The sequence below is a fragment of the Homo sapiens genome, chromosome X (assembly GCF_000001405.40).
Source record: "Homo sapiens chromosome X, GRCh38.p14 Primary Assembly".
Lineage (NCBI taxonomy): Eukaryota > Metazoa > Chordata > Mammalia > Primates > Hominidae > Homo > Homo sapiens.
The window spans coordinates 11,041,694-11,068,575 of NC_000023.11; the positions used below are offsets into that span (position 1 = coordinate 11,041,694).

The window sequence follows — 26,882 nt, forward strand, 5'->3', positions numbered from 1 at the left end:
AAGAGCCATCCCAGTGCTAAAGCTTCCTGACCCATGACCATTTTAACTCCTCCCTCTTTCTCATCCTTCCATCCATTGAGCATTCTCCAATAAATTACTTGCATGCAAATTTCCATTTTAGAGTCTGTTTCCTAGAGAACCCAACCAAAGGCCACAGGATGGGAAAAACAACCTATGCTGATGGCAGTTAGAAAGCTTGTGGCCTGACAGCTTTTAAAACTGTCCCTCTTGCACACTCAGCAGTTCAGGCCATTGTAAGTAGGTAAGGAGTAACTGGTCAACCTTTTCGCTTACTCTACAGTATCTCACTTCACTCCCCACTGACCCCTCATATCCCTAGGAATTTTCCCCACCCACCCTTTAACAAGACCTTCTCTGAAAGCCTTCATCATGGGGGCTAAATGACTCATGATACTTTATTCTCACCTAACAGGAATTAAGGTTGTCATTCAACCTTGATTCAAACTGGATAAAAGAATCAGCTTGCCATTAGAGACTACTTGGGGAACATGAGGGACCTTTATGGTGCCATACCACAGTGAACTACATGGTATCAGAGACGATGCTATGAACTCACCAAACCCCATTTTCTTTTTTGTCCTCCTAGGAGAACAAAACATGTCCTCAATGTTATAGATTTCCCAGCCTTCTCTGTGATGCAACTAGGCCATACGACTGAATTCCGAGACCCACATAATGTGGGTAGAAGTGATGCCTGCCACTTCTAGGCCTGTTCCCTTACCGCGTCCCCACCCCCGACCCCCCATACACAATTCTTCATGCTCCTTTTTACTTTTTCTACCATTTGTTTGTAGTTAATCCAGTTGAATCCTAAGGTCTCAGGGCATGGAGCCATAACATGAATGGAGCCTGAGCCCCTGAATGGCTGAATGCAATAGAGCCTTTCTCTACACCATAACAACCATGCTTGGGCTATGCCAGAGATATTTTCATGTCACCTGGATCCTAGAAAATTCAAGAAAAAGAAAAGACTTCTTTGCCATTATAGGTATAGCAAGTGGAGATAATGTAATCAAAGGCATAATCACTTACAAACCAACAAACAACTGGCATCCTATATTTAGCTATGGAAGATATAAATGGATCATGTAATTATATTCACCCATACATATTACACACCATTGCTTGTGTGTTAATGTGCTTAAATTTTGTTTCAAAAACAAAATATCCTACTGTGATGCTCTGAGTAAACAGATTCTTAGCAAAATTAATGAACAATGCCTGAAAAGAGAAAACTTGAGGAAAATGAACCAAGATTTTCCCTGAAAAGTGAAAAATAGGAAAAGATATAAGGTTGGTTGGATAAATATAGAAATTACACGAACTAGACATTTAAGAAGTGTGTTATTTTAAAGGTCAAAATAAACAAAGCATGATATATATTAACTCACTATTACCATGCTTTCTAGATGTCTATAGTCCATACTTGGAAAAGAAAATAGCCAAGTGAAAACAGGATGACTTGCTTTTCTCTTTTAAGCAATTATTCTTTTCTGTGGAAGGATTTAGCTATGCTTCAATTCTCTGGAGGGACTCTATTTAAAAAAAAACAATTTATATTGTTATACTTGAAACTATCTTCACAAAGGGCTCAAATTTGAAGTAGTAGAAAACTTTGGTTTCAAACCTATAAATGCAACTAATTTTATTCTATTCTAAATTTTATTATCAAGGAGCACATTGCATATTTTAAGTCATTCTGGAAGGAGGTTTCCAAAAAATCTTTCTGTTCATAGGAGAATTTGCTAAACAGCAACACTTTCAGCCACTCACTAATATCTGAGCACCTCCTACACTCATTAGTGATTCAATCCACTGTGTGTTCATGTGTGTGTGTGTGTGTGTGTGTGTGTGTGTGTGTATGTGTTTCTCATCATTTTGCTGCATTGGAGGCAGTTTTATGCCTCCAATTTTTAATTTTTAATTTTTTTGCATACATAGTAGGTATATATATTTATGGGGTACATTAGTCATTTTGATATAGTCATACAACGTATAATAATTACATCTGGGTAAATGGAGTATGCATCACCTCAAACATTTATCCTTTCTTTGTGTTACAAACAGTCCAATTATACTATTTTAGTTATTTTTAAATGTATAATATATTCTTGTTGACTGTAGTCACCCTGTTGTGTTATCAAATACTAGATCTTATTCCTTCTATCTAACCATACTTTTATACCTATTAATCTTCCCCTACTTGCCCCTCCACCCACCCACCCACTACCCTTCCCAGCCTCTGGTAACCATCATTCTACTCTCTATCTTCATGACTTCAATGGTTTTAATTTCCAGCTTTCATAAGTAATTGAGAGCATGAGTTTGTCTTTCTGTGCCTGGCTTATTTCACTTAACATAATGACCTTCAATTCCAACCACATTGTTGCAAATGACAGGATCTCATTCATTTTCATAGCTGAAGAGTAGTCTATTGTGTATATGTGCCACATTTTCTTTATTTACTCGACTGTTGATGGACACTTAGGTTGCTTCCAAATCTTGGCTATTGTAAACAGTGCTGCAATAAACATGGGAGCATAGGTATCTCTTTGATATACTGATTTCCCTTCTTTGGGGGTATATACCCAGTAGTGGGATTGCTGGATCATATGGTAGCTCTATTTTTAGTTTTCTGAGGAACCTACAAACTGTTCTCCATAGTGGTTGTACTAATTTACATTCTCACCAACAGTGTATGAGGGTTCCCCTTTCTCCACATTCTCACCAGCATTTGTTACTACCTTACTTTTGGATAAAAACCATTTTACATGGGGTGAGAGAATATCTCATTGTAGTTTTGATTTGCATTTCTGTGATGATCAATGATGTTGGGCACCTTTTCATATACCTGTTTGCCATTTGTGTGTCATATTTTGAGAAATGGTTCTTTAAATATTTTGACCATATAGAGTTGTGTGAGCTCCTTATATATTCTGGTTATTAATCCCTTGTTAGATGGATCATTTGCAAATATTTTCTCCCATTCTGTGGGTTGTCGCTCCAATTTACCAGTTGTTTCCTTTGCTGTGCAGAAGGTTTTTGACTTGATGTGATCTCATTGTCCATTTTTGCTTTGGTTGCTTGTGCTTGTGGTGTATTAATCAAGAAATTTTTAGCCAGACCAATGTCCTGGAGAGTTTCCCCAGTGTTTTCTTTTTTATTCTTATTTGCTTTTTTCTTTTAAGAATTCTACATGCAGGATGGCCCCCAACATTTTCTTGTAGTAGTTTCATAGTTTGAAATCTTAGATTTAAGTCTTTAATCCAATTTGATTTGATTTTTGTATATGATGAAAGATAGGAATCAAGTTTCATTCTCTTGCATATGGATATCCAGTTTTCCCAACACCATTTATTGAAGAGACTGCCCTTTCTCCAAGGCATATTCTTAGCACCTTTTTCAAAAATGAGTGCACTGTAGGTGTATGTATTTGGTTCTGTGTTCTCTAATCTGTTCAATTGGCCTATGTGTCTGTTTTTATGCCAGTACCATACTGTTTTGGTTACTATAGCTCTGTAGTATAATTTGAAGTCAGGTAATGTGATTCCTCCAGTTTTGTTCTTTTTGCTCAGGATAGCTTTGGCTATTCTGGGTCTTTTGTGGTTCCACATAAATTTTAGGATTGTTTCTCCTATTTCTGTGAAGAATGTCATTGGTATTTTGATAGAGATTGCATTGAATCTGTAGATTGCTTTGGATAATATGGACATTCTAACAATATTGATTCTTCTAATCCATGAACATGGAGTATCTTTCAATTTTTTTGTGTCCTTTTCCATTTCTTTCATGAGTATTTTATAGTTTTCATTGTAGATATCTTTCACTTCTTTGGTTAAGTTAATTCCTAAGTATTTTACGTTATTAGTGACTATTGTAAATGGGATTACTTTTCAATTTCTTTTTCAGATTGTTCACTGTTGGCATTTAGAAATGCTATTGATTTTTGTATGTTGATCTTGTATTCTGTAGCTTTACTGAATTTATCAGTTCTAATAATTTTTGGTCAAGTCTTTAGGTTTTTCCAAATATAAGGTCATATTATCAGCAAACAATGATAATTTGACTTTTTCCTTTCCAGTTTTGATGCCCTTTATTTCTTTCACTTCTCTAATTGCCCCAGCGAGAACTTCCAGTACTATGTTGAATAACAGCAGTGAACTGGGTATCCTTGTCATGTTCCAGATCTTAGATGAAAGACTTTTAGTTTTTCTCCATTAAGTATGATACTAGCTATGGGCTTTTATTATATTGAGGTATGTTCATTCTATACTTAGTTTTTTGAGAGTCATGAAGGGATACTGAATTTTATCAAATTTTTTCAGCATCAATTGAAACAGTCATACGGTTTTTGTCCTTCATTCTGTTGATACAATGTATCACATTGATTGATTTGAATATGTTGAGCCATCCTTGCATCCCTGGGGTAAATACCACCTGGTCATGATGAATGATCTTTTTAAGGTATGGTTGAATTTGATTTGCTAGTATTTTGTTGAGGATTTTTGCATCAATATTCATCAGAGATACTGGCCTGTAGTTTTCTCTTTTTGATGGGTCCTTGTCTGACTTTAGTATCAGAGTAATATTGGTCTGATATAATGAGTTTGGACATATTCCTCCTCTATTTTTTGAAATAGTTTGTGTAGGGTTGGTAATAGTTCTTCTTTAAATGTTTTGTGGAATTTGGCAGTGAAGCTATTGAGTCTTGGACTTTCCTTTACTGGGAGACATTTTGTTATGGCTTCAATGTAGTTACTTGTTATTGGTCTGTTCAGGTGTTTTATTTCATCATGGTTCCACTTTGGTAGTTTGTATGTGTCTACGAACTTACCCATTTCCTCTAGATTTTCCAATTTATTGGCATATAGTTGCTCACAGTAGCCACTGATGATCCTTTGAATTTCTGTGGTATCAGTTGTAATATCTCTTTTTTCATCTCTGATTTTATTTTCTCCCTTTTTTTGTTCACTAGTCTGGCTAAAAGTCTGTCAATTTTGTTTATCCTTTCAAAAAATCAACTTTGTAGTTTGTCGTTATTTTATATTGTTTTCTTCATTTTGAATTCATTTATTTCTGTTCTGATTTTTATTATTCCTTTTCTTGTACTAATTTGGGGTCTGGTTTGTTTTTGCTTTTTTAGTTCTTTAAAATGCCTTGCTAGGTTATTTATTTGAAGTTTTTCTTCTTTTTTGATGTAGGCATTTATAGCTATAAATTTCCCTCTTACTACTGGTTTTGCTCTATACTATAGGTTTTGCCATGTTGTCTTTCCATTATCACTTGTTTCAAAAATCTTTTCAATTTTCTTCTTAATTGCTTCATTGACCCACTAGTCATTCAGGAGCATATTGTTTAATTCCCATGTGTTTGTATAGTTTCCAAAATTCCTCTTTTTGTTGATTTCTAGTTTTATTCCACTGAGGTCAGAGAAGATGCTTGATATTACTTCAGTTCTGTTGAATGTTTTAAGACTTGTTTTGTGACCTAACATATGGTTTATCCTTGAGAATGATCCATGTGCCAAGGAAAAGAATGTTTATTCTGCAGCCTTTGGATGAAAAGTTCTGTAAATATCTGTTAGGTCCATTTGGGCTATAGTGCAGATTAAGTCTGGTATTTCTTTGTTTAGTTTCTGTCTGGATGATAAGTCCAATGCTGAAAATGGGGTGTTGATGTTTCTGGATCTTTTATTGGGTTCTACCTCTGTCTTTAGTTCTAATAATATTTGCTTTATATATCTGGATGCTCCAGAGTTGGGTGCACATATATTTATAATCTTTATATCTTGTTGCTAGATTGACCCCTTTATCATTATATGAGGACCTTCTTTGTCTCTTTTTATAGTTTTTTCTTGAAATCTGTATTGTCCAATATAAGTATAGCTCCTCCTGCTCTTTTTTGGTTTTCACTGACATGGAATATCTTTTTCCATCCCTTTATTTTCAGTCTATGTGTATCTTTACAGGTGAAGTATGTTTCTTATAGGCAACAGATAATGGGATCTTGTTTCTTCATCCTGCCCAGGGCAGTTCCAGTAATGCTGTCCAAGAGCTAAGGCCTGGACTCAGGGACTCCAAGAGCCTGCTTGTTGCTCTACTGCAAGGTGACCAAGCTGGTACCTAAGGTGCAAAACAAAGTCCCCTTTACTTGGAGTCTTTCCTTGTAGCCACCACAGCTGGGAACATGCTAGGTCACACCTACAGTCAGCACATTGCAGTGCCCAAGGCCCACAGTGTACTACCTGATGGTTGCTTTGGGTTATTCATGGCCCAAGTCTCTTTAGTCAGCAGGTAATAAATCCTGCCAGCACTTTGTCCTTCCCTTCAAGGCAGCTGGTTCACTTTTGGCCCCAAGTGTGTCTAGAAATGTTGTCTGTGTACCAGGGCCTGGAATGGGGTCCTCATGACTCTGCCCAGTGCCCTATCCTACTGTGGCTGAACCGGTATCTAAGATGTAAGACAAAGTTCTCTTTACTCTTCACTCTCCTCCCCTTAAGCAAAAGGAAGGGGACACTTTCATTGCTGCAAGTTTCACTGCCTGGGGTTTGAGGAAAAGTGGTATAAGCAATCCTTTAGCTATCCCAGCTGGTATCTCCCTAGGTCATGTGCCACCCTAGTCCTCCAGCTCTGAGTCCAGCCCAGGGCTAAGAGTTGCCTAGGAATTGCAGGCCTTTTGCCCTAGACTGCTATCAAGTTTACCTAGGACCCCAGAGCACTTTGGCCTGATGTGGCAAGACTTGCCGAGAAACTTGAGTTCAGACCAATAGAATGGGAAATTCCCCTCTGGCTAGGTCTAGTCCAAATGCTCCCTCCATGCACAGGCAATGGCTGAGCCCAACATGGCTTTGCTCTCTGCTATGACAAGGCAGCACTGAGTTCAATGCAAAGTCCCCCAGACACTGTGCTCTCCCTCCCCGAAGATCACAGACTCTCTGCACTGCACAGCCACTGGCAGAAGATGGGAGAGTGGTGGTGTTGGTGATCCAAGACTGTCTCTCTGACCCTCTTCAATGCCTCTTTCAATGATATGAAGTCAAAACCAGGTACTGTGATTGCCCACTTGATTTTTTGGTTCTTGCAATGGTTCTTTTCTGTGTGCAGATAGTTGTTAAAATTTGATGTTTCTGGTGGGGTACAAACCATGTAGACTACGATTCTGCCATCTTGCTCCACCCCCTCTGAGTTCTCATTACTCATTATTGGCCTTTCAGGTTTTAGATTTTTTCATGGTTCAATGTTGCTAGGTTCTATGTGTCTAGGAATTTATGCAGTTCTCCTAGGTTATCCAATTTATCGACATATACTTGCTTATAGCAACCTCTATGAGAAATTTAACCTTAAATTTCTGTGGGATAAGTTGTAATGTCTCCTTTTTCATCTCTGATTTTATTTCTTTTGGTATTATCCATTTTTTTCTTAGTCTGGCTAAAGGTTTGTCAATTTTGTTTATCTTTACAAAAAACCAACTTTTTATTCCTTTGATCTTTTGCATTGTTACTTCATTTCAATTTCACTTATCTCTGCTCTGCTCTTTATTATTTCCTTTTCTTCTACTAATTGTGGGTTTTGTTTGCACTGCTTTTCCCACTCTTCCCAATCTCTCCCTGTGGCTGTCACTGCCCCAGGCCTGTGACAAATACTGCCTGACTACTGCCAATGTTCATTCAAGGTCCAAGGGCCCTTCAGTCAGCTTGTGGTGAATGCTGCTGGCCTGGGACTCTCCCTTCAAGGCAGTGGGCTCACCTCTGGCCCAGGACAGATCTAGAAATGCCATCCAAAAGCCAAGGCCTGGAACTGGTGACTCCACGAGCTCCCACTGTGTCCAAGCTTGTACCTAGGCTGCAAAACAAAGTCTCCTTTACTATTCCCTCTCCTTTTCTCAAAAAGAAGGAGTCCCTCTACACAGTCAATTCAGCTGGTAATGTGCCTGGTTACATCTAAAGCCAGTACTTCTCTGAGTCCCTCCCAAAGCCGACAGCAAATACTACCTGGGTACTGCTGCTGATTATTTGAGGCCCAATGGCTCTTTAGTCAGCAGGTGATTAATCCTGCCTGGACTGGGTCCTTCTCTTCAAGGCCCAGGGTGTATCTAGAAGTGTTGTCTTGGAGGTAGGTCCTGGAATGAGGGCTTCATGACTCTGCCTGGTGCTCTATCCTACTGTGGCTGTGCTGGTATCCAAGTTGCAAGATAAAGTCATCTTTACTCTTCCCTCTCCTCTCTTCAAGTAGAAGGAAGGAATGCCTTCCAGATTTGCAAGCTGCACTGCCTGGGTTTGGGGATGAGGTGGTACAAGCACTCCCTTGGCCACCCCAGCTGGTGTCTCACTAAGCCATGTGTCCCCCTCCAAGGCCACTGGCTCTGAGCCCAGCACACCACCAGGACTTGCCCAGGAATTGACTTCCTGTGGCCTAGATTGCCTTTCAAGTTTATTTAAAACCCCAGAGCACTTTAGCCTGCAGTGGTGAGGCTTGCCACAACTAAGGTCCCAGTTGCTGGGATGGGTAGTTCCCCTCTGGCTAGGGCTGGTCTAAATGCTCAATCTATGAGCCACTGTGGTAGGGCAGCACAGAATTCCAATGCAAAGTCCCATGATCACTATGTTCTCCTTCCCCCAAGTGCACAGATTCTCTTTCCATGCCACGCAGTTGCTGCTGAGGGATGCGGGAGGAGTGGTGTTAGCAATTCAAGACTGTCTCTCCTACCCTCTTCTGTGCCTCTTTCAGTGATTTGAAGTTAAAACTAGGTACTGTGATCACTCACTTGATTTTTGGTTCTTATGAAGGTGCATTTTTTGTGTGGATAGTTGTCCAATTTTGTGTTCCTACAGGAAGGACAATCAGTGGAGGCTTCTATTCAGCCATCTTGCTCTGTTTCCTCTTTTATGTGTCTTTTTATTTGGAATCCTACACTGCCTCAGGGCAAAAAATGCACTAGATAGGCTAAGACACAATGAATGGATATTCAAGCAGCTATACATATAAACTTAAGTTTATATTTCTGGTAGTATATATTTATGCCCTGTAAATAAAACGTGTTGATAAATTCTATTTCTCTTGATTTATATAAAAATGCAAAAAATATGATGCATTTATAACTGCAGCATCGTCAAGTATATTTCTGACTGAAGATGACTCTAAGTAGGTATCAATGAGAACCAAATCCAATGCATACAATTTTACACATCTAACGATTAGAAAGATTGTCCACAGACAGGCTTCTGGCTACATACATTTCAAATCTTGCTTTTCCCCCACTACTTGCATACTTTGGTGACAAGTAACATGGGGCACACTCAGGTCACAATACAATCTCTGGTCTCGTGCATTGGGTCACAACACAGGGTGGCTCAGCACCGTGGACAGTATTCCTGGAAGCCTTTCCTACACCAGAGCAACTAGTCATAACATACACAGAAGTGACTGGTAATCAATAAGTATATTCCACCAATGAACTGTGCGGGTGTCAAAGTGCATGTTCCTGCTGGGAATTTTAAATCTGTATCTTTCATCTATGAGTAAAGATAATTGAAAGTTATTTTATATCCCCAACTTAACTTTCCCTTAGTTAGATCCCCCAAAAGCCCACAGCTGCTCAAACATCTCTCATTTTGAAGGGAAGTGTGATGGAGGGGCTTTTGAAACGGGAAGGGACAACAGTCTTAGTCAACTGTGGTTAAATTATCTCACTTTTTCAAGTTTTACAGAAAAAAATATGAAGACATCCCCAGGGCTCCTCTCAGCATTCTGGAAGGAACTCATCCAGTAGTGGGTCCTCAGGCTTAAGCTTCATCAGCTTCAGGGTGTTCCTACTTCTACATATGGGTTTTCTTTATTTCCTTATAAAAACTTTGTATTATGGAAATTTTCAAACATATACAGAAGTCATGATGATATATAATTACTCACCATATACTTATTACTCAGTTTCAACAACTATCATCTCAGGGCCCTTCCTATTTCCTCCATGACCCTGTCCACTCTTCTCTTCCCTCCCCACACCACAATTATTTTGAAACAAACCCTACACTTACATTTCACCTACAATTATTTCTGTACATACATGTTTAGGTTTATATTTCTTATATGGGGTTTTATGCCAAATCTATCAGTGGCCATAATTAAAATGAATGTTTTGACTTTTACAAGAATTATATTTATTTCTACTATTTTCATAACAGGAACCAAATCTATTCAACACTACTCACTTTTAACATTTACAATAAAGATGAGTGCTCACTTTGACAGCACATATACAATAAAGATGAGATTTCATTTGAACTGACAATGACCTTTTTTTTCACAATAAGCTGTGAATAAACTTCTGTTCCATGAACCCCCATGTGTTTTATTTTTATGGCTAATAATAGTCGTTAATCAATCATCACACATATATACATACAAATCACACAGAAAGACACATGTAATTTTTCTTCCTGTATCTCACTTCTCTAGCCTAAACTGAACTAGAGTCTTCAATTATGGGTAAAAGTCTGTAAAAAAGGCATTAGAGAAAGAAATAAGAAAAATACAAAAAAGTCATCTAACCTATTAATAGTTAAAGGAACTTAGGCCACATCCCACCCCACACGTGCAGATTTTTATATCACAGTTTGTTTGTTATTATATCACCATCATTACATGTCATGCCATTTTCATACATCATAAAGGATACATAAAATAAAAATATTTTAAAATCTAATTACTAGCATTTTAGTCAAAGTTGAGAGAAGGAATTTAAGTTGGTACCTTTAGTTCAAGGAGAAATTTATATGATTTCACTATTCTCACTAGTAAAATAAAGTCCGTTGGGACACACTGCCTTAGGGAATTTTCCTTTAGAACCATAAAGGCTCCAACATGCGAAAAAAAAAATAGTATTTTAATATGTTAGAGAGCATTGGTATGTGCCTTGGCTCAGGAATTGCTCTGATATTGAAGAGTTGTGATAAATTCCTTCGCAATTTCAGAGTATACCCTAGGCTTGAATCCAAGAATTCTGGGGTAAACAAGACAAGCATGGTTCCTACCTTCTCAGAACTTATGATCTACTGAAACAGACCACCATGCGAGGAAGCACAATAAAATGTGGCAGTTACTACAGCAGAGTGATTACAGGGGCTTTGGTAGTGCAGAGTAAAGGAGATGAATCAGGGGTGACCTGGGAAGTGATTAAGGTGATGAAGCTGAGACTCAGGGTATTATTGTTGAGATTTCATTTTAGTGAAAGGATAGCTCTGTGCAGAGGGGAGGAGAGATGAGAGGAGACAATGTCAGGGCAGGAAGAACAGGTATAAGACTACTGCCATGAGTATGGGCAAGGGAAGGTGGCACCCCACACCAGGGCAGTGGCAAGGAAAATGGGAAGAAGTGGACAGATTCGAGAGCCATTTCAGAGTTAACATCCACGAAGTTTAGTGACGGATTAGTAGGAGTGGGAAGAAAACAGGGAGTACTGGATATGTGTCCTAGAAGGGAAAGTGGCAATTTTTGTTGTGTGAAGTTGGACAAGGAGTTAAGCTATTTGACTTGTATATTCCTATTTCAGTTGATTCTCCAGAGACAGACAAACATCTCAAAGTAGAGCTCAGCATTGCACTTCATGAAATTTTGAAGAATGTGTGCAAGTGGTGTAATTACTGTTATAATTTAATGGGGCTGCTTTGTGCCTTGAAAGCTAGGAAGCAAGCATGCCTTTGTGTGTTCAAAATGCTAATTGAATTATCTCTGACTTTAGTTTATGTTCCTTAAGTACAAACTCTTAAGTCAGGCCAAAGGGATCACAGCTATGTTGTACCATACTTAACTACCTTTTTTATAAGCAAGGATTTTTATTCCAAAAATAAACAGAGGCATACTGACATAAACCCATAAAGTATGTGGGCTGGTACTTTAAAGAACTATGTATTTGCACAAGGACCAGGAGAGCTTTCTTAAAAGGGACCAGGTCCTGGGAATTCTCTCTAAAAGTGATTTATTTCTGTCAACATTCTTCTTCAATTTAAACATACACATTCACATATATTTAAATTCCTCCAGACATTTGAGTTTAAAGTTTTACTCCTGATCTACTGAGTAAATACCTTTAGCAAATAGGCAATAAATTAAGTGAAGGCAGCTTTCTTTTTGAATATACCTTCCTCATACAAATCTCCATCTAAACACCTAAAGATTTGATAATATTTATTTCAAGATATTTCCTATATTTATATATGTATTATGTGTGTATATATATAACATATATATTAGAAAACGATGGAAATGTCTAAAATTTGCTGTTTTTTTCTCACAGAAGAGTTTTCTTCAGCTTTCTGACAATGTAGATTTCAAACTTTATAGATGTATTTATAGAATCATTTTCAACAAACATTTGTTAAACACCTACTCTATATAGGTGGATGCGCTAGTGTATGTCAATGTGTATCATTACCATAATAAGTCAATTGTCAAAAAAATCAGACAACTTAACTGACAAATAATAATATTAAACAACCTCATGGCCACAAATGGAAACAGACTTAGGTGAACACTTTCTACCTTTCTAGTTTATTTAGAGGACAACTAAGAACAAAAACAATCATTTACAAAGCTTGTTCCCACACCAGTTAGAATGGCGATCATTAAAAAGTCAGGAAACAACAGGTGCTGGCGAGGATATGGAGAAATAGGAACACTTTTACACTGTTGGGGGGACTGTAAACTAGTTCAACCATTGTGGAGGTCAGTGTGGCGATTCCTCAGGGATCTAGAACTAGAAATACCATTTGACCCAGCCATCCCATTACTGGGTATATATCCAGAGGATTATAAACCATGCTGCTATAAAGACACATGCACATGTATGTTTATTGCGGCACTATTCACAATAGCAAAGACTTGGAACCAACCCAAATGTCCAACAATGATAGACTGGATTAAGAAAATGTGGCACATATACACCATGGAATACTATGCAGCCATAAAAAATGATGAGTTCATGTCCTTTGTAGGGACATGGATGAAACTGGAAACCATCATTCTCAGCACACTATCGCAAGGACAAAAAACCGAACACTGCATGTTCTCACTCATAGGTGGGAATTGAAGAATGAGAACACATGGACACAGGAAGGGGAACATCACACACCGGGGCCTGTTGTGGGGTGGGGGGAGGGGGAGGGATAGCATTGGGAGATATACCTAATGTTAAATGACGAGTTAATGGGTGCAGCACACCAACATGGCACATGTATGCATATGTAACTAACCTGCACGTTGTGCACATGTACCCTAAAACTTAAAGTATAATAAAAAAAATTTTAAAAAAAAAGCTTGTTCCCTAGTGAATCATAACAGGAATCGTCCATTCTACAACCCTGACAATACATTTTCCATAGAATTCTGATAATCATCTTCAACAAAAAGATATTGTACATGGCCAGTGCCACAAATCAAGTTATTTCACATCCCAGGTTATTACTGAGTGCCCAGAAAGTCTTTACATTATTTATATTTTCTGTAAAATAATATTTAGTTCCCAGTAGGAGGTAACTTTGCATTAAATGATGTAACAGCACTTTGGAATATATATCCTATTAGTGTGTATCATATTAGTACATTATCCCTAATACAAAAATTTCATCTGTTAGTTTAATGGAAAGCTTTACTTTCTCCTCACTTATAACTTACAGAAAGACATATTGAACAAGTTAGTTATGTCAATACATGTCTGTTAAGCTGAATTCCAAAAGGACCGGAAGAATTTCTTAAAATGCTCTGCTTACACTGCTGCTGCATTAATATCGCTGACCCTATTAAAAACATACATGGACAGTTCTGTATTTGTAACATTTTGTATGATTTAAATGACAAGGTACCATAAAAGGGAGCCAAAATAGGTGTTTTGATGTTTCAAAAGTGATTCTCTGGGGCAGAGTGAGAGTGATTGTCCAGTTAATTTGAAAGTGATTGCCCTTTAAACCTGAGTTGGGAGACCATCATCATCCAGAATAGAGTGAATTTTGTTGTGTAGTTGTTCTTCAAACCTTGAGGTGCCAAGGAATCTTGCTGGTGTGAAGACTGGTTCATAAAAGCAGAAATCGCCCTGAGATGTGGTGAACTTGACCTTGTGACTTGACCTTTCAGTCAAACAGCCCACCATACAACAAACAGCTGTCCCAATAACACAGCGCTTTGGCTCTCCCTTTACTACTCAATGAAATGTCATAGAGAGAACTTCTTACCTAGTTCCAAGGTTTGTTCCTCGGTTCCTGCTCCATCCCTGCCTTTACCCAGCTTCAAACATCTGGTCTCCACTTTCTGTCTTCTGCTTCCGGTCCTGCACCTGCACTTTGGGAGATGTGGACACTTAGATTTTTGGCACCTTGTCTTAGATATGGTTTGAACTCACTCTGGTACCCATGAATCTGGCTACCCCTCCACTCAAACTCTGGTCTCCAGGAGTTCTCTGCCTGACTAGTGTATCCATCAGACTCAACCCTGCCCAGACAGAGCAGAACAAACAGTCTGCCCTCTGTCCTGTGAAGGTACTTTATCAGTCAATCAGGAGAGGCTTGGGGATGCTTCTGTGACCAACAGCTCCAAAGTCTTCTGCAGTCTAAAGCAAAGGTTTACATTTGACTTATTCTATGGGCCCACCATGAGCCAGCTGTGACTCTGCTCCAAATCACCCTCACTTAGAGGCTCCTCTTCTTGGAACTTCACTGGTCACATTAACATGAGGAAGAAAGTATATTGTACTGCAAACCAGTTCTTAAAGACTTGCCCGGAAGCAAATTGCATTGCAAACCAGTTCTTAAAGACTTGCCCAGAAGTGATACATTTCCAGTCACAATTAATTGGCCAATGCATCACATAGGCATGCTTCATGTCAGGACGCACAGAAGATCCCACTCAAAGACAGGAGAACCAAAGATATTGCTGAATAATATTAACTTCTACTGTTACCAGAAAGGGGTCCTGATCTAGACCCCAAGAGAGGGTTCTTGGATCTTGTGCAAGAAAGGATTTGGGGTGAATCCATAGAGTAAAGTGAAAGCAAGTTTATTAGAGAAATAAAGAAACAACAGAATGCTTACTTCTTAGGCAGAGCAGCCCTGAGGGTTGCTGGTTAGCTATTTTTATGGTTATTTCTTGATTGTATGCTAAACAAGGGGTGGATTATTCATGAGTTTTCCAGGAAAGGGGTGGGGAATTCCTGGAACTAAGAGTTCCTCCCCTTTTTAGACTACATAAGGTAACTTCCAAGCATTGCTATGGCATTTGTGAACTGTCATGGTGCTGGTAGGAGTGTCTTGTAGCATGTTAATGCAATATAATTAACATATAATGAGCAGTGAGGATGACCAGAGGCCACTTTCATTGCCATCTTGGTTTTGGTGGGTTTTGGCTGGCTTCTTTACTGTATCCTGTTTTATCAGCAGGGTCTTTGTGACCTGTATCTAGTGATACCAGTCCTGCCAACCTCCTATCTCGTCCTGTGACTAAGAATGCCTAAGGTCCTGAGAATGCAGCCCAGTGGGTCTCAGCCTTATTTTACCCAGCCCCTATTCAAGATGGAGCCACTCTGGTTTGAACGCCTCTGACACCACCACAGGCACCAATTTTTAAGCCAAAATTTTCCAACCTTTTGTTCATGGAACTGAAATAGACCACAGTATTGGCTGCTTAGATCTGTTAGCTCTCATGAAAACCCAAAGAAAGCTTTAACTTAATGTTTAATTAGGACATAAGAGGGATTGACTGAGAAGAAATAAATTCTTCCTAGAAAAACTTCTCCTGGAACAACAACAGTCATTTGTAGCAATATATTAATAATGACAGCTAACGTTACATTTATCAGGCATTTGCTATGCACCAAGTATACTTTTAAGCACTTTATATATATTAACTCATTTAATCATCCAGCAATCCCATGATGTAAGTACTCTTTTGATTCTTGTTTTATAAACAAGGAAACTAAGTCACAGTGATGTTTAGTAATGTGCTCAGGGTCAACAGCTCTCATGGTTTACTGGTTGCTAATTTAACCCTTAAATTATCAGCATAAATGTATAATGTGGTTGGTTCTTCTGATAACTCCACTCTACACTGGGTCATTGTGAACATCTTGGCTTGTTATTTTTAAAGCAATGTCTTTCTCCAGGCTTCAGTAGACAACATTTCTGGCACATTTCAAGAAGGAATGGACTGGGTAAAAATGTGCAGTACTTCCACTTCTGGCTAGAATGTAGAAAGTCACAAGACAGCATCATTCTCACCCTAACCACCAAAACAAGCCTGATGAGCTACAAAATCTAAGTTTTATAAAATTCACCAGAGAGTGGAGGAGGCAAAGAAACATAAATCAACATGGTTCCGGAAAACAGTGAGCCTCTCATAGGTGAGAAGACGGCCCTAATTGTTCTCAATCTGAGCAAAATGATGGGTGGAGAAGAAATCCACCATGGAAGAGAACAAGGAGAAACTAGGCAAAATTTTAACAAAAGTTTAATGGTCACATGTGATCTGGTGTGACAGATGAGAATGCTAAGGAGCTCAGCCACAGGGTCTGCACTGACCCATCAAATCATTCCCATAGGCTGTCACCAAATGCTCAGGGTATTGTGCCAAAGGCTGTGTTTTGGACTGTTTTTGCATTGCTATAAAGAAATACCTGAGACTGAATAATTTATAAGAAAAAGGGGTTAATTGGCTCATGGTTCTGCAGGCTATATAGGAAACATAATGGTATCTGCTTCTGAGGTGGCCTCAGGAAGTTTATAATCATGGCAAAAGGCAAAGGGGGAGCAGGCACATCACATGGCCAGAGCAGAAGCAAGAGAGTGATGAGAGAGATGCCACACACTTGTAAACGACCAGATCTCACAAGAAGTCACTCACTATTGTGAGGACAGTACCAAGAAGATGGTGATAAACCATTCATGAGCAATCCGCCCCCATGATCCAATCACCTCCCACCAGGCCCCATCTCCAACATTGGAGATTACAGTTCAACATGTGATTTGGGTGGGGACAACATCCAAACTATATCAAGCTGGGATAGGTAGAAAAAAGATACACCCGTGAGATAAATGAGGACTTTCCTAAGTGCAAGGCAGCCATGTCCAAAAACAGAACTGAAAACTCCAGAAAGCACATCTGAGGCACTCTAGGCTCTGAGGTACTGAAGGCATAGGTAAGTTGAGAGAAATCTATCTGTGATACTCCCACAAGTCAACAACAGAAAGACAACCCAATAAAAATGGGCAAAAGAGTTACTCAAACAGATACATCACAAAACAAGATTGTATGAAAGACAAATAAGTACACAAAATAGTGGCCAATATCTTTAGTTACCAGATAAATGCAAATTAAACCAAAATGTAAAAGACCGACAACATCAAATATTGGTGAGAATAGGAAGCAACTAGAACTCTTGTGCATTTCTATTTACAGTGTAGGCTGGGCACAGTGGCTAATGCCTATAATCCTAGCACTTTGGGAGGCTGAGACAGGAGGAACACTTGAGCCTAGGAGTTCGAGGCTGCAGTTCCAGGGCAACACAGCAAGATCCTTCTCTAAAAAAATAATTTTAAAAACCCACTAATTAAAAATGTTAAAATTCTAAGTCAGAGTATGAAATAGTACAACCAATTTGAAGAACTGTTTGGCAGTTTCTAATAGTTAAACAAACATCTTCCCTAAGACCCAGCAATTCCACTCCTAGACAACTACTGTAGCTGAATGAAAATGCATGTTCATGAAAAGACTTATTTACTAATGATCGAAACTGTCTTATGCATAATAGCTCAAAACTGGAGATTACCTATATGCTCACCTATGTGTAAGTGGATAAAACTTTGTTCATACAATTGAATACTATTCAGCAATAAAAAATATAAATTACTCATACACCCCCAAAGATGGACGTTTCTCAGAAACATGCTGAGTGAAAGAAGTCAAACAGAAGAGTATATATGTATGAATCCATTTATATGAAGTTCTAGAACTGCCAAAATAATATATGATGATAGAAATTAAAACAGTAATTGAAGTGACCCAAAAGGGGCCAAGAGACACTTCTGGTGTGGTAGAAATGTTATCTGGTTTCGGATGGTTAGTACATACAGTTTTCAAAACTTAACTGAAACAAAGTTTTGTGCAATTTATTGAAGTATAATTATACCTCGGTTTTTAACTGTACATGGTCAAATATCGCTATTTCAGAATATTGAGAATGAGTCAGCTCCAAATTCAGTCCATGATACAAGAGTTAAAAGCCAGGTCCTGCAAGCCACCCAAGGTCAATATTTTTAAAATCATACTACTTTTCTTATTCATAGCATTTAATGGACAGCTACAGACAAGACAGGGCTTGCTATAAAAAGGGCACAATCCCATACTTAATGAGTGATCTTTTCCTTTTAGCTGTCTCTAGCCAGTGTTATCTCATGTTGATTCACCCAAAACCTGCTGATGTGTCACTGCTATAATCTTTCAGTGTCAGCCTATAATTGTTTAGGGTCAGCCTTTAATTCATTGGGGATTCCTACTCTAACCACGCAGAGCTTATCGACTGTATGGCTGGTGAGAGCTCTACCATTAACTGCTGGACTGTTTCATTATTGCCACTTCTGATCTCAAGTTCTCTATATAAGTCTATGCAAACACTTTCCTGTGAGGGTCCTTTGACATACTCCAAACTGACTACAGGTGACTGTAAGTGAGAACAAGAACATCTCCTAGTCTTAACACTGCCTAAAATAGCACTTCTCACACTTTAATGCGCATACAAATCACCAAGGAATCTTGTTAAAATTAAAATCCTGATTCAATAGGTCCAGAGTGGAGCCCAAGGTTCTGCATTTCCAACAAGCTCACAGGTAACGGGGCAATGCTGTTCCATGGGCCACATTTTGAGTTGTGAGGACCAAGTATTCTTTTCTCTATGGTTATGTCCTCTGTTTCTAGAAATCGCCTCTCTCCATGTGTGGATTTGCAATCCAGGCTTTGATATTCGACAGCTTTAAGCTCAAACGTGCAAGCGAGGGTTCCAGCAGTGGACAGAGGATAGCTTTTGGATTTCAAAATAAACATTTGGACAGGCATTCTAGTTTTCATGTATTCACTCACAATGAATTCATCTCCCCCAATGCACTCCCATCATCAATCTGGAGGATTTTCATTGACCAGCAGCTCCTGCAGGACAGGTAGCAGATCTTTCAGAATCATCTAAGACCAGAGCAGTGGGCCACATGCAGGAGCCTCACCAACACTTCAGCTCCTGCTTCAGCAGGAGCACCCTGTCTGATAGCCAGGGAAGGAGGAATGTAGGTCAGGGAGTCCCTCTCTGGGATGGGCCAGAGTCTGCTTCAATAATCAGGTCGGGGGGAAGGGCTTCTTTTCCCAGTGGTTCTGCTGGATGCAACGTTGCTCCTCAGGCAAACATAAAGGAAAACAGATTTTGCCCCAAAGTGACCTTTGGGCAATAGCATTACAAGAGATGGTAAGATTACAGTGACAGTATTATATCTGACATCCCATAGGGACATATTTTGAAAGTCTTAAATCTTTAAATAAATATTTACGATGATAAAAATGTTATCTCTAAGCAAGAGTTCCAGACTTTATTTTTTAAAAATGTACTTGAATCATTGAATCTAAGCAATTCTGAATATTCATAAATCCCCCAACCATTTTCTTAAGGATTTAATCTATTATTTAGAACGAAACTTTATATTTAAAACAGGAAATATCAGTGCTTAATGTGGTGTGATACACACGAGTTATTTCAGTTGATCAGGTTTACTGTTAATTGGGTCAGTGGCATTAATCCTCAGGCATGCAAATACTTTGCCAAAGAAACACAAACAACTAAAACTCATAGGCACATAAATGACAGCAAAAGAAGAACTCTTCAAATTGTTCACAGTTTTGCTAGTTTAACAAGATGAACTAGTCATGGTATGATGAAGATTAGGAGTTGCAAACTTTGCATAGCCTGCTTAAAATGTAAAAATAAATTCTAAGTGAAGGCAGCCAGGTAAGTGCTTCCATTAAGGTACAGGGATCTGTCCATTCACAGAGATCTGGAGATTTATTAGGAAATAGGGACTTCAAGGTGCTCAGCTGGGATACCTAGTACTCAGCAAGACAGTTACATAAACATGAACCAATAGTCAAGTATTTATTTTATTTTCACTGCTTGTCATCCCTTCTAGAAGTCTTCCTTTGCCATCCTAGGGCATTTTATGACAGTGGTTCAAGGCATTACTCAACATTTAACTGGGACTAGTCCAATATGTTGGTGGTGATCATAAAATGCATACTCTCAGGCAAGGCAAATTTTCCTAACATGGGTTTAGCTAAAGAATCAGAACTTTTCTCCACACTCAAAATGAGCAGTAATAAAAGCTGAAGGTCATCAGACATTTGAGGATAAGCAGAGATAAATTATTATAGAAAAGCACTGGGTTCTTTTGCAATATAGTATCATTACCATCATCACTGTCATCATCACCATTATTGCTACCATCATATACAATTGATAGTACAATAAATGGGAGAAGTTGAATTAAAAATAATTTTGGTAATAACTATTAAATCTTTACAATTCATATACCATTTGAGTCAGCAATTTCTCTCCAAAATATCTATCCTGAAGAAATACACATGCAAAAAAAGCATGCAAAAGCTTAATATTATAAAATGTCAATCCTTGCCAATAAAAGTCCAGTGAAAGTCCAAATATGATTTATTTTGGGCAAATTGGCAAACGGACTCTAAAGTTTACATAGAAATATTGTTTAAAACAAGGAAAAACTGCAAACTCCCTAAGTAATTTCGAAGACAAATTCATTTAACAAATGTTTATCAAGTGCCTATTATGTACCAAGTATTGCTTTAGCCAAAGGGATAATTAAATAAAACTTTGGTATGCACCTATGATAGAGCACTAGGCTGAATATAATAAGAAAATATTTATATAGAAAAAAAGAAAATAATTTATATAGAAAAGAAAATAATATAAAAGTACACTTAACAGATGTGAAAAAATGTGCAAGACATGCTGTGAAGTTAAAAAATCAGTACAATATATGCAAAAATGCTATTTTTAAAAAATTTATCTTGATCTGAGCATATAAATATATAAATGCACAGAAAATAACTAGTAAAACATGTTATTAACAGGAGATGGATGATTACTTCTGGAGAGAAAAGTGGAATTGAGTTGAGTCATGGAAAGCTTTGGTTTTGTATAATACTTGGATTTTTACCAGAAGAATGTACTTATCATATGTGCACCTGAAATACATCGGGCTACCTGAAAAGCACTGATAAAACATTCCTTGGGACAATCTGGCCTAGAATAAACTGCACTTAATATAATGTTTTCAAAAACTTTCATATCATTGCTAGTCATTTTTCTAGGAGTTTAAATTCTGTAGACTGATTGTAGACAAAGTTTATTTATTTATTTAATTATCTAGTGGTGGAGGGGGTCACTGAAAAGTAACTATAATTTTTTAAAGACTTATTTTAGAGTAGTTCTAGGTTCACAGCAAAATTAAGAGGAAGACACAGAGATTATCCATATACCCCTGCAAAATGTATTTTTATTGGAAGAAAAGGCAGGAGGGCAGATAGGTTAGAGAGAGAACAAACTCGGATGATGTTTACCATCAGTCAAACTTGGATTCTAATCTTTATTCTGGTGCCTGGTAAACATGTGTACCCTCAGAATGTACGCTTTTAGTAGAAAATAATAGGACACCTAATAAAATATGGCTTAAACAACAGAGATTTGTTAACTCACACAACCAAAAATCCAGAAACAGAACAGTGCCAGGCAGGGCAATCTCAACCGCTCTCCCTTGACTTTTTCTTCATGGTTGCAAGGTGGCTGCTGTGGTTCCAAACAAATACTGCATCCTCACAAGACAGCAGTCCAATGTAAAAAGGAATGAGGATTTTTATTTATGCAAGTCTTTACTTAATCAGAGAGAACACATTTTTCCAACAGCATCCACAAATTTCCCCTTACATTTAGTTGGCCAGAACCAGGTCACATGGCCACATTCAAATCAATCACTGGAAAAGAGGAGGAATACCATGTTTGACTTAAACCCAATCATATTCCATACCCTGGGGCTGGGCCCTCTTTCCTGAACACAGAACTACGTGATACCTGCAGTAAATCTGGATTCCTCTGTTAACAAAAGAAGAAAAAAAAAAAGAAATCATCATTGAACACCCAAACAACCACATTTGCTACAATAAGTAATTAAATATTCAGTTTGTTCATCTGTAAATTGGGCCAAATGACCTATTCTCATAATTGCTTGAAACACTGAGATTGCATATGTAAAGCACTTGACTTATACTAGCTGTCTGATGAATGCCAGTTTTCTCTCTCCACCTTCTTCCTCAATAATTCTAACACTATTTCAATAAGGAACAATTATTACAACAGGAGGAGGAAGAGTGAAGGAGCTCAGAACTGGGATTTTCTACACCCAAACAGACAGATTATCCTGGAGCAGTGGTTCTCAAACTTGATTGTAGACCCCAACACCTGGTGAACCTGTTAAATCACAGATTCCTGGGCCCCATCCCCAGTAGGTCTAGGGTGGACTCTGAGAATCTGCATTTCTAACAAGATCCCAGGTGATGTTGATGATGTTGTTCAGGACAACTCTTCACAAGCCACTGCCCTGTAGCGAGGCATGAGCCATGAGCCATGAGCCATGAGCATGAATGTTGGCGTCAGTTGTTCTCTGAATCCCCATCAGCGAACTCAGGGCCACGCCAGCCAAGGACACTGGGGAGCAGAGCTGTGAAACGTATGACATTTCTGAATAGTTTCAGATTATTTCCAGGCTGCAAAACTTCAGACTGAAAGACTTTATTTGGGGATAGGCCCCTTCAGGTAAGTTTGAAAGAAGAGGAAGGCCACCTACCAACACAAGCCAGCTACATAGTCGCTCACCTGCCAACTTCCCAACAAAGGGAGAACAAAATAACAAACACTCAAATTCTAAATGCCTTTAAGGGTTTACAAGTATTTCAAGCAAATTATCCTTCCTTCTTTTATGCCTGAAAAAAACATTTAAGCAGAGACCCCAAGAATTTAGGGCTCTTTTGCTTCTTTGCCAAAGGACAGTTCTCCTTGATTGGGCTCCGCACAAAATCCAAGACTGGAGCCCCAGACAAACTGGCTAGACGAGCCTGCTCTCAATTGCTTTGCCAACAATGGACCAAAGAACTGGATTAGCGAAAAAATTCTTTCTGTAATTTGATGCAACAGATTTTTCAAAACAATATTTTAATTTGCATACCAAGCCAAATTCCCTCTCAGAGGAGAGATAGAATGCATTCCATTGTGTAAGACAATACTCATTCATTCCCACGCAATGATGTCAGTGCTCAGCAAGCAATGCTCTCTCTGCAATTCTATTTCTTGCCTTTAAGTTTCTATTATAAAATTTTTACCACTTCAGAATCATGCATGATATTGCAAATCTTTCTGTTATCGTTTTTACAAAACCAAAAGAGACAAGGCTGTCACCAACTGCCTCACGCACAATTATTTAATCACTTTTTCCTCTTGGTATGAATAGGATTTCTGAAATCCATCTTCACCTCCCAGGACTTTCTTCTGATACGAATACTGATTTGGATAGTTTACTTTTGCCAGCTTTTAATGTTCAGGGAGCAGTCTCACTGTTTGCTGAAATGATAGGAGGCATTTCAGGGTTGTAAGGCTGAACCCTGGCAGGAATTTTGAGGTTAATGGGAAACACACTGGGCATTTTCTTAGGGGAAATACTCTGGCACAGGGAAGATTAAAGACAAAATGCATTCTAACACATAAATGATATAAAATGGCGTGAAGTAGCATAGCATGGCAGGGAGATTTTGGCAAGAGCTTGTTCATATGATTACATGAAAGATACCAAGTTAAAAAAAACACAATATTCTCTCTCTCTCTCTCCCCCGCCCCCCAACAAACCTGCCTGCCTGCCTATTTTTTTCGAGTTTTATTTTAGACTCAGAGAATACATGTGCAGGTTTGTTACCTGGGTATACTGTGTGATGCTGAGGCTCAGGGTACAAATGATTCTGTCACCCCAGGTACTAAGCATAGTACCTGATATGGTTTGGTTCTGTGTCCCCACCCAAATCTCACCTTGAATTGTAGTCCCCATAATCTCCATGTGTCAAAAGCAGGACCAGGTAGAGGTAATTGAATCATGGGGGTGGTTTCCCCATGCTGTTCTCATGATAATGAGTGAGTCTCACATCTGATGGTTTTATAGGTGCCTGGCATTTCCCCTGCTTGCACTTATTCTCTCTCCTGCCACCCTGTGAAGAGGTACCTTCCACCATGATTGTAAGTTTCTTAAGGCCTCCCCAGCCATCCGGAACTGTGAGTCAATTAAACTCTTTCCTTTGTAAATTACCCAGTCTTGGGTATTTCTTCACAGCAGTGTGAGAAAGGACTAATACAGTATACAGTAGTTAGTTTTTCAACCCTTTCCCTATTCCCTCCCTCCCCTCTCTAGTAATTCCCAGTTTGTATTGCTGCCATCTTTATGTCCATGAATACCCCATGTTTAGCTCCCACTTATAAGTGAAAACACATGCTATTTAGTTTTCTGCTCCTGCATTAATTTGCTTAGGATAAACTGGATACCTATTACATATCCCAAAATTTTAATATTAAAGAAAAAAATTGAATTTCTATTTGAACTCCAACTGTGTGCTACTTCTTTTAATTGTGAAAAGCTTGAAAAATATGGAACAGTGAAGAAAAGAAAATAATACAGTATCAACCAGCCAAAATTAGCAACTACTCACATCTATTCAATATAACTTAGCTATTTTTAAAATAAAAAAGAGCAGTTTAATTTTTAAAAACCCTTGATTTTTTTTTGTGCCCCATTTGCCTTTTCATTATTTAACTTGTTGGGTACTCTTCCAGTACACAGGTTTTTAATTTTATTTCATATACATCTTAATCCCATAATATATCCCAAAACAATACATAATATAGTCTTGTATGTTTTCTAGTATCTACATAAATGCTATTGCAAATAGTATTTATGATACTGAAACTTTATTTTTTTCATTCAGTGTTATACTTTTGAGTCCATCTTTTTTGATACATATAAATCTAGGTTATTTTTAATGATAGCATAACATTCCATTCTATGACTACACTACAGTTTATCTTTTAGTCAGCTAATGAAACCTTCAGCTGTTTTCCATTTTTCACCATTACAAACAGTACTACAATGAACAGTATTGTCCGTGTTTCCTAGGCACTAGGGGAAGAGGTTTTCTTGGGACTATATTAAGGACAGAACTGCTTGATCGGAACATCTGCATATTTTCAGCTGTGCTAGATATTATCAAAATGTTCTCCAGAGAGGTGATAGCAATTGGTATTCCAATTGGCAGCACTGACAGTTTCTGTTTTCCCTAATTCTTGTCAAAACCCTAACTATATCTTTCTTAAAGTATTCCATTCACCCAAGGGTCCCTGGTAAACAACCAAGGTGAGTTTTCTACCCACACCTGGGATGACACTGCAAGCAAATGTCTCTTCCTCTGCTCCCCACCCCCAGCATAGAAACAGAGTGTCTCTTTTGTGTAGAAAACTGCTTTCCCACACAGTAGGGTTATTAGTCATGAAGCTATGAAGGAGTTTCTCTCTATGTACAGTGATTGATCCAAGGGTTGGTATCAGAACATGGCCAATCAGACTTTCTCTTTTGGGGTTAATATGTGCAATGGGAGAGAAAATATCTGCCTTCTTTAAAGAACTGTAGGAGTGAGGACCAAGTTGTTTTTGCTCACCTAAGGATGAAGCCATGGAGAGGAAAAAGGAATCAAGATTATAGAAATTCCACCCCTTGGTATATGCCCAATTGAATTGAAAACAGAAACTCAAACAGTTATTTGTACACCAATGTCCACTTCAGCATTATTCACAGTAGCCAAAAGATGGAAACAACCCAAATATCTATCTACCAATGGATGAATAAACAAAATGCGGTATAGACATATAATGAAATATTACTCCACCACAAAATGAAATAAAGTACTGATTCATGCTACAACATGGATGAACCTTAAAAACATTATGCTAAGTGAAATAAGCCATACTCAAAAGGACAAATATTGTATAATTCCACTTATATGAAATATCTAGAATAGGCAAATGCATAATGACAGAAAGTACATTAGAGGTTGCTGGGGCTTGGGGAGGGGGGAGTTGGGAAGTTAATGCTTAATGGGTATGCAGTTTCTGTTTGGTATGATGGAAAAGATTTGGAAACAAATAGTCACGATGGTTTCATAACATTGCTAATATAATTAATGCCATTGGATTATACACTTAAAAATGATTAAAATAGCATTTCATGTTATATGTATATATTTTATCACAATAAAACATTTAAAAAGGCACAAGACTACTGAAAATTTAAAAAGGAAAAAAGATTAGATGGATAGATAGATATACAGACAAACAGAAAGACACATATGTATATCTCCTTACCACATCATTTGACTCCCTGGATCATACCATGCCTGAAGTCTGCACTAATTCTTTTAACTTTCAGTTACATAAACCAATACATTTTACTTTTAAATCTATTTTGAATTGGCTGGCACTAGAAACTTAAATAATTCTGGATCCTGTTATTTCAGGCATAATAGTGTACAGTTAGGAAGGAAAAGGATATATCTTGACATCTGTTTAGGTTCTAAAAATTTTATATAAACCCCTGATATTAGCAGAAAATCAACCAAATCTTATTCTAGTCTAGTCATGTATGTGTGTGTGTGTGTGTGTGTGTGTGTGTGTGTGTGTGC

At 38.2% G+C, this 26,882-nt stretch overlaps 1 long non-coding RNA gene across 3 annotated transcripts in view; it reads right to left on the reverse strand.

Moving 5' to 3' along the window:
• HCCS-DT (HCCS divergent transcript) overlaps positions 1-26,882 on the reverse strand; it is a 263,596-nt gene that overhangs the window by 194,151 nt on the left and 42,563 nt on the right. For 2 of the 3 annotated variants that reach the window (NR_186563.1, NR_186562.1), the window contains one exon: positions 12,546-14,343. This is a non-coding gene — a long non-coding RNA (HCCS divergent transcript). Of the gene's footprint in view, positions 1-12,545; positions 14,344-26,882 lie in introns of those variants that run through there. The other variant, NR_186561.1, reaches the window with a different exon arrangement.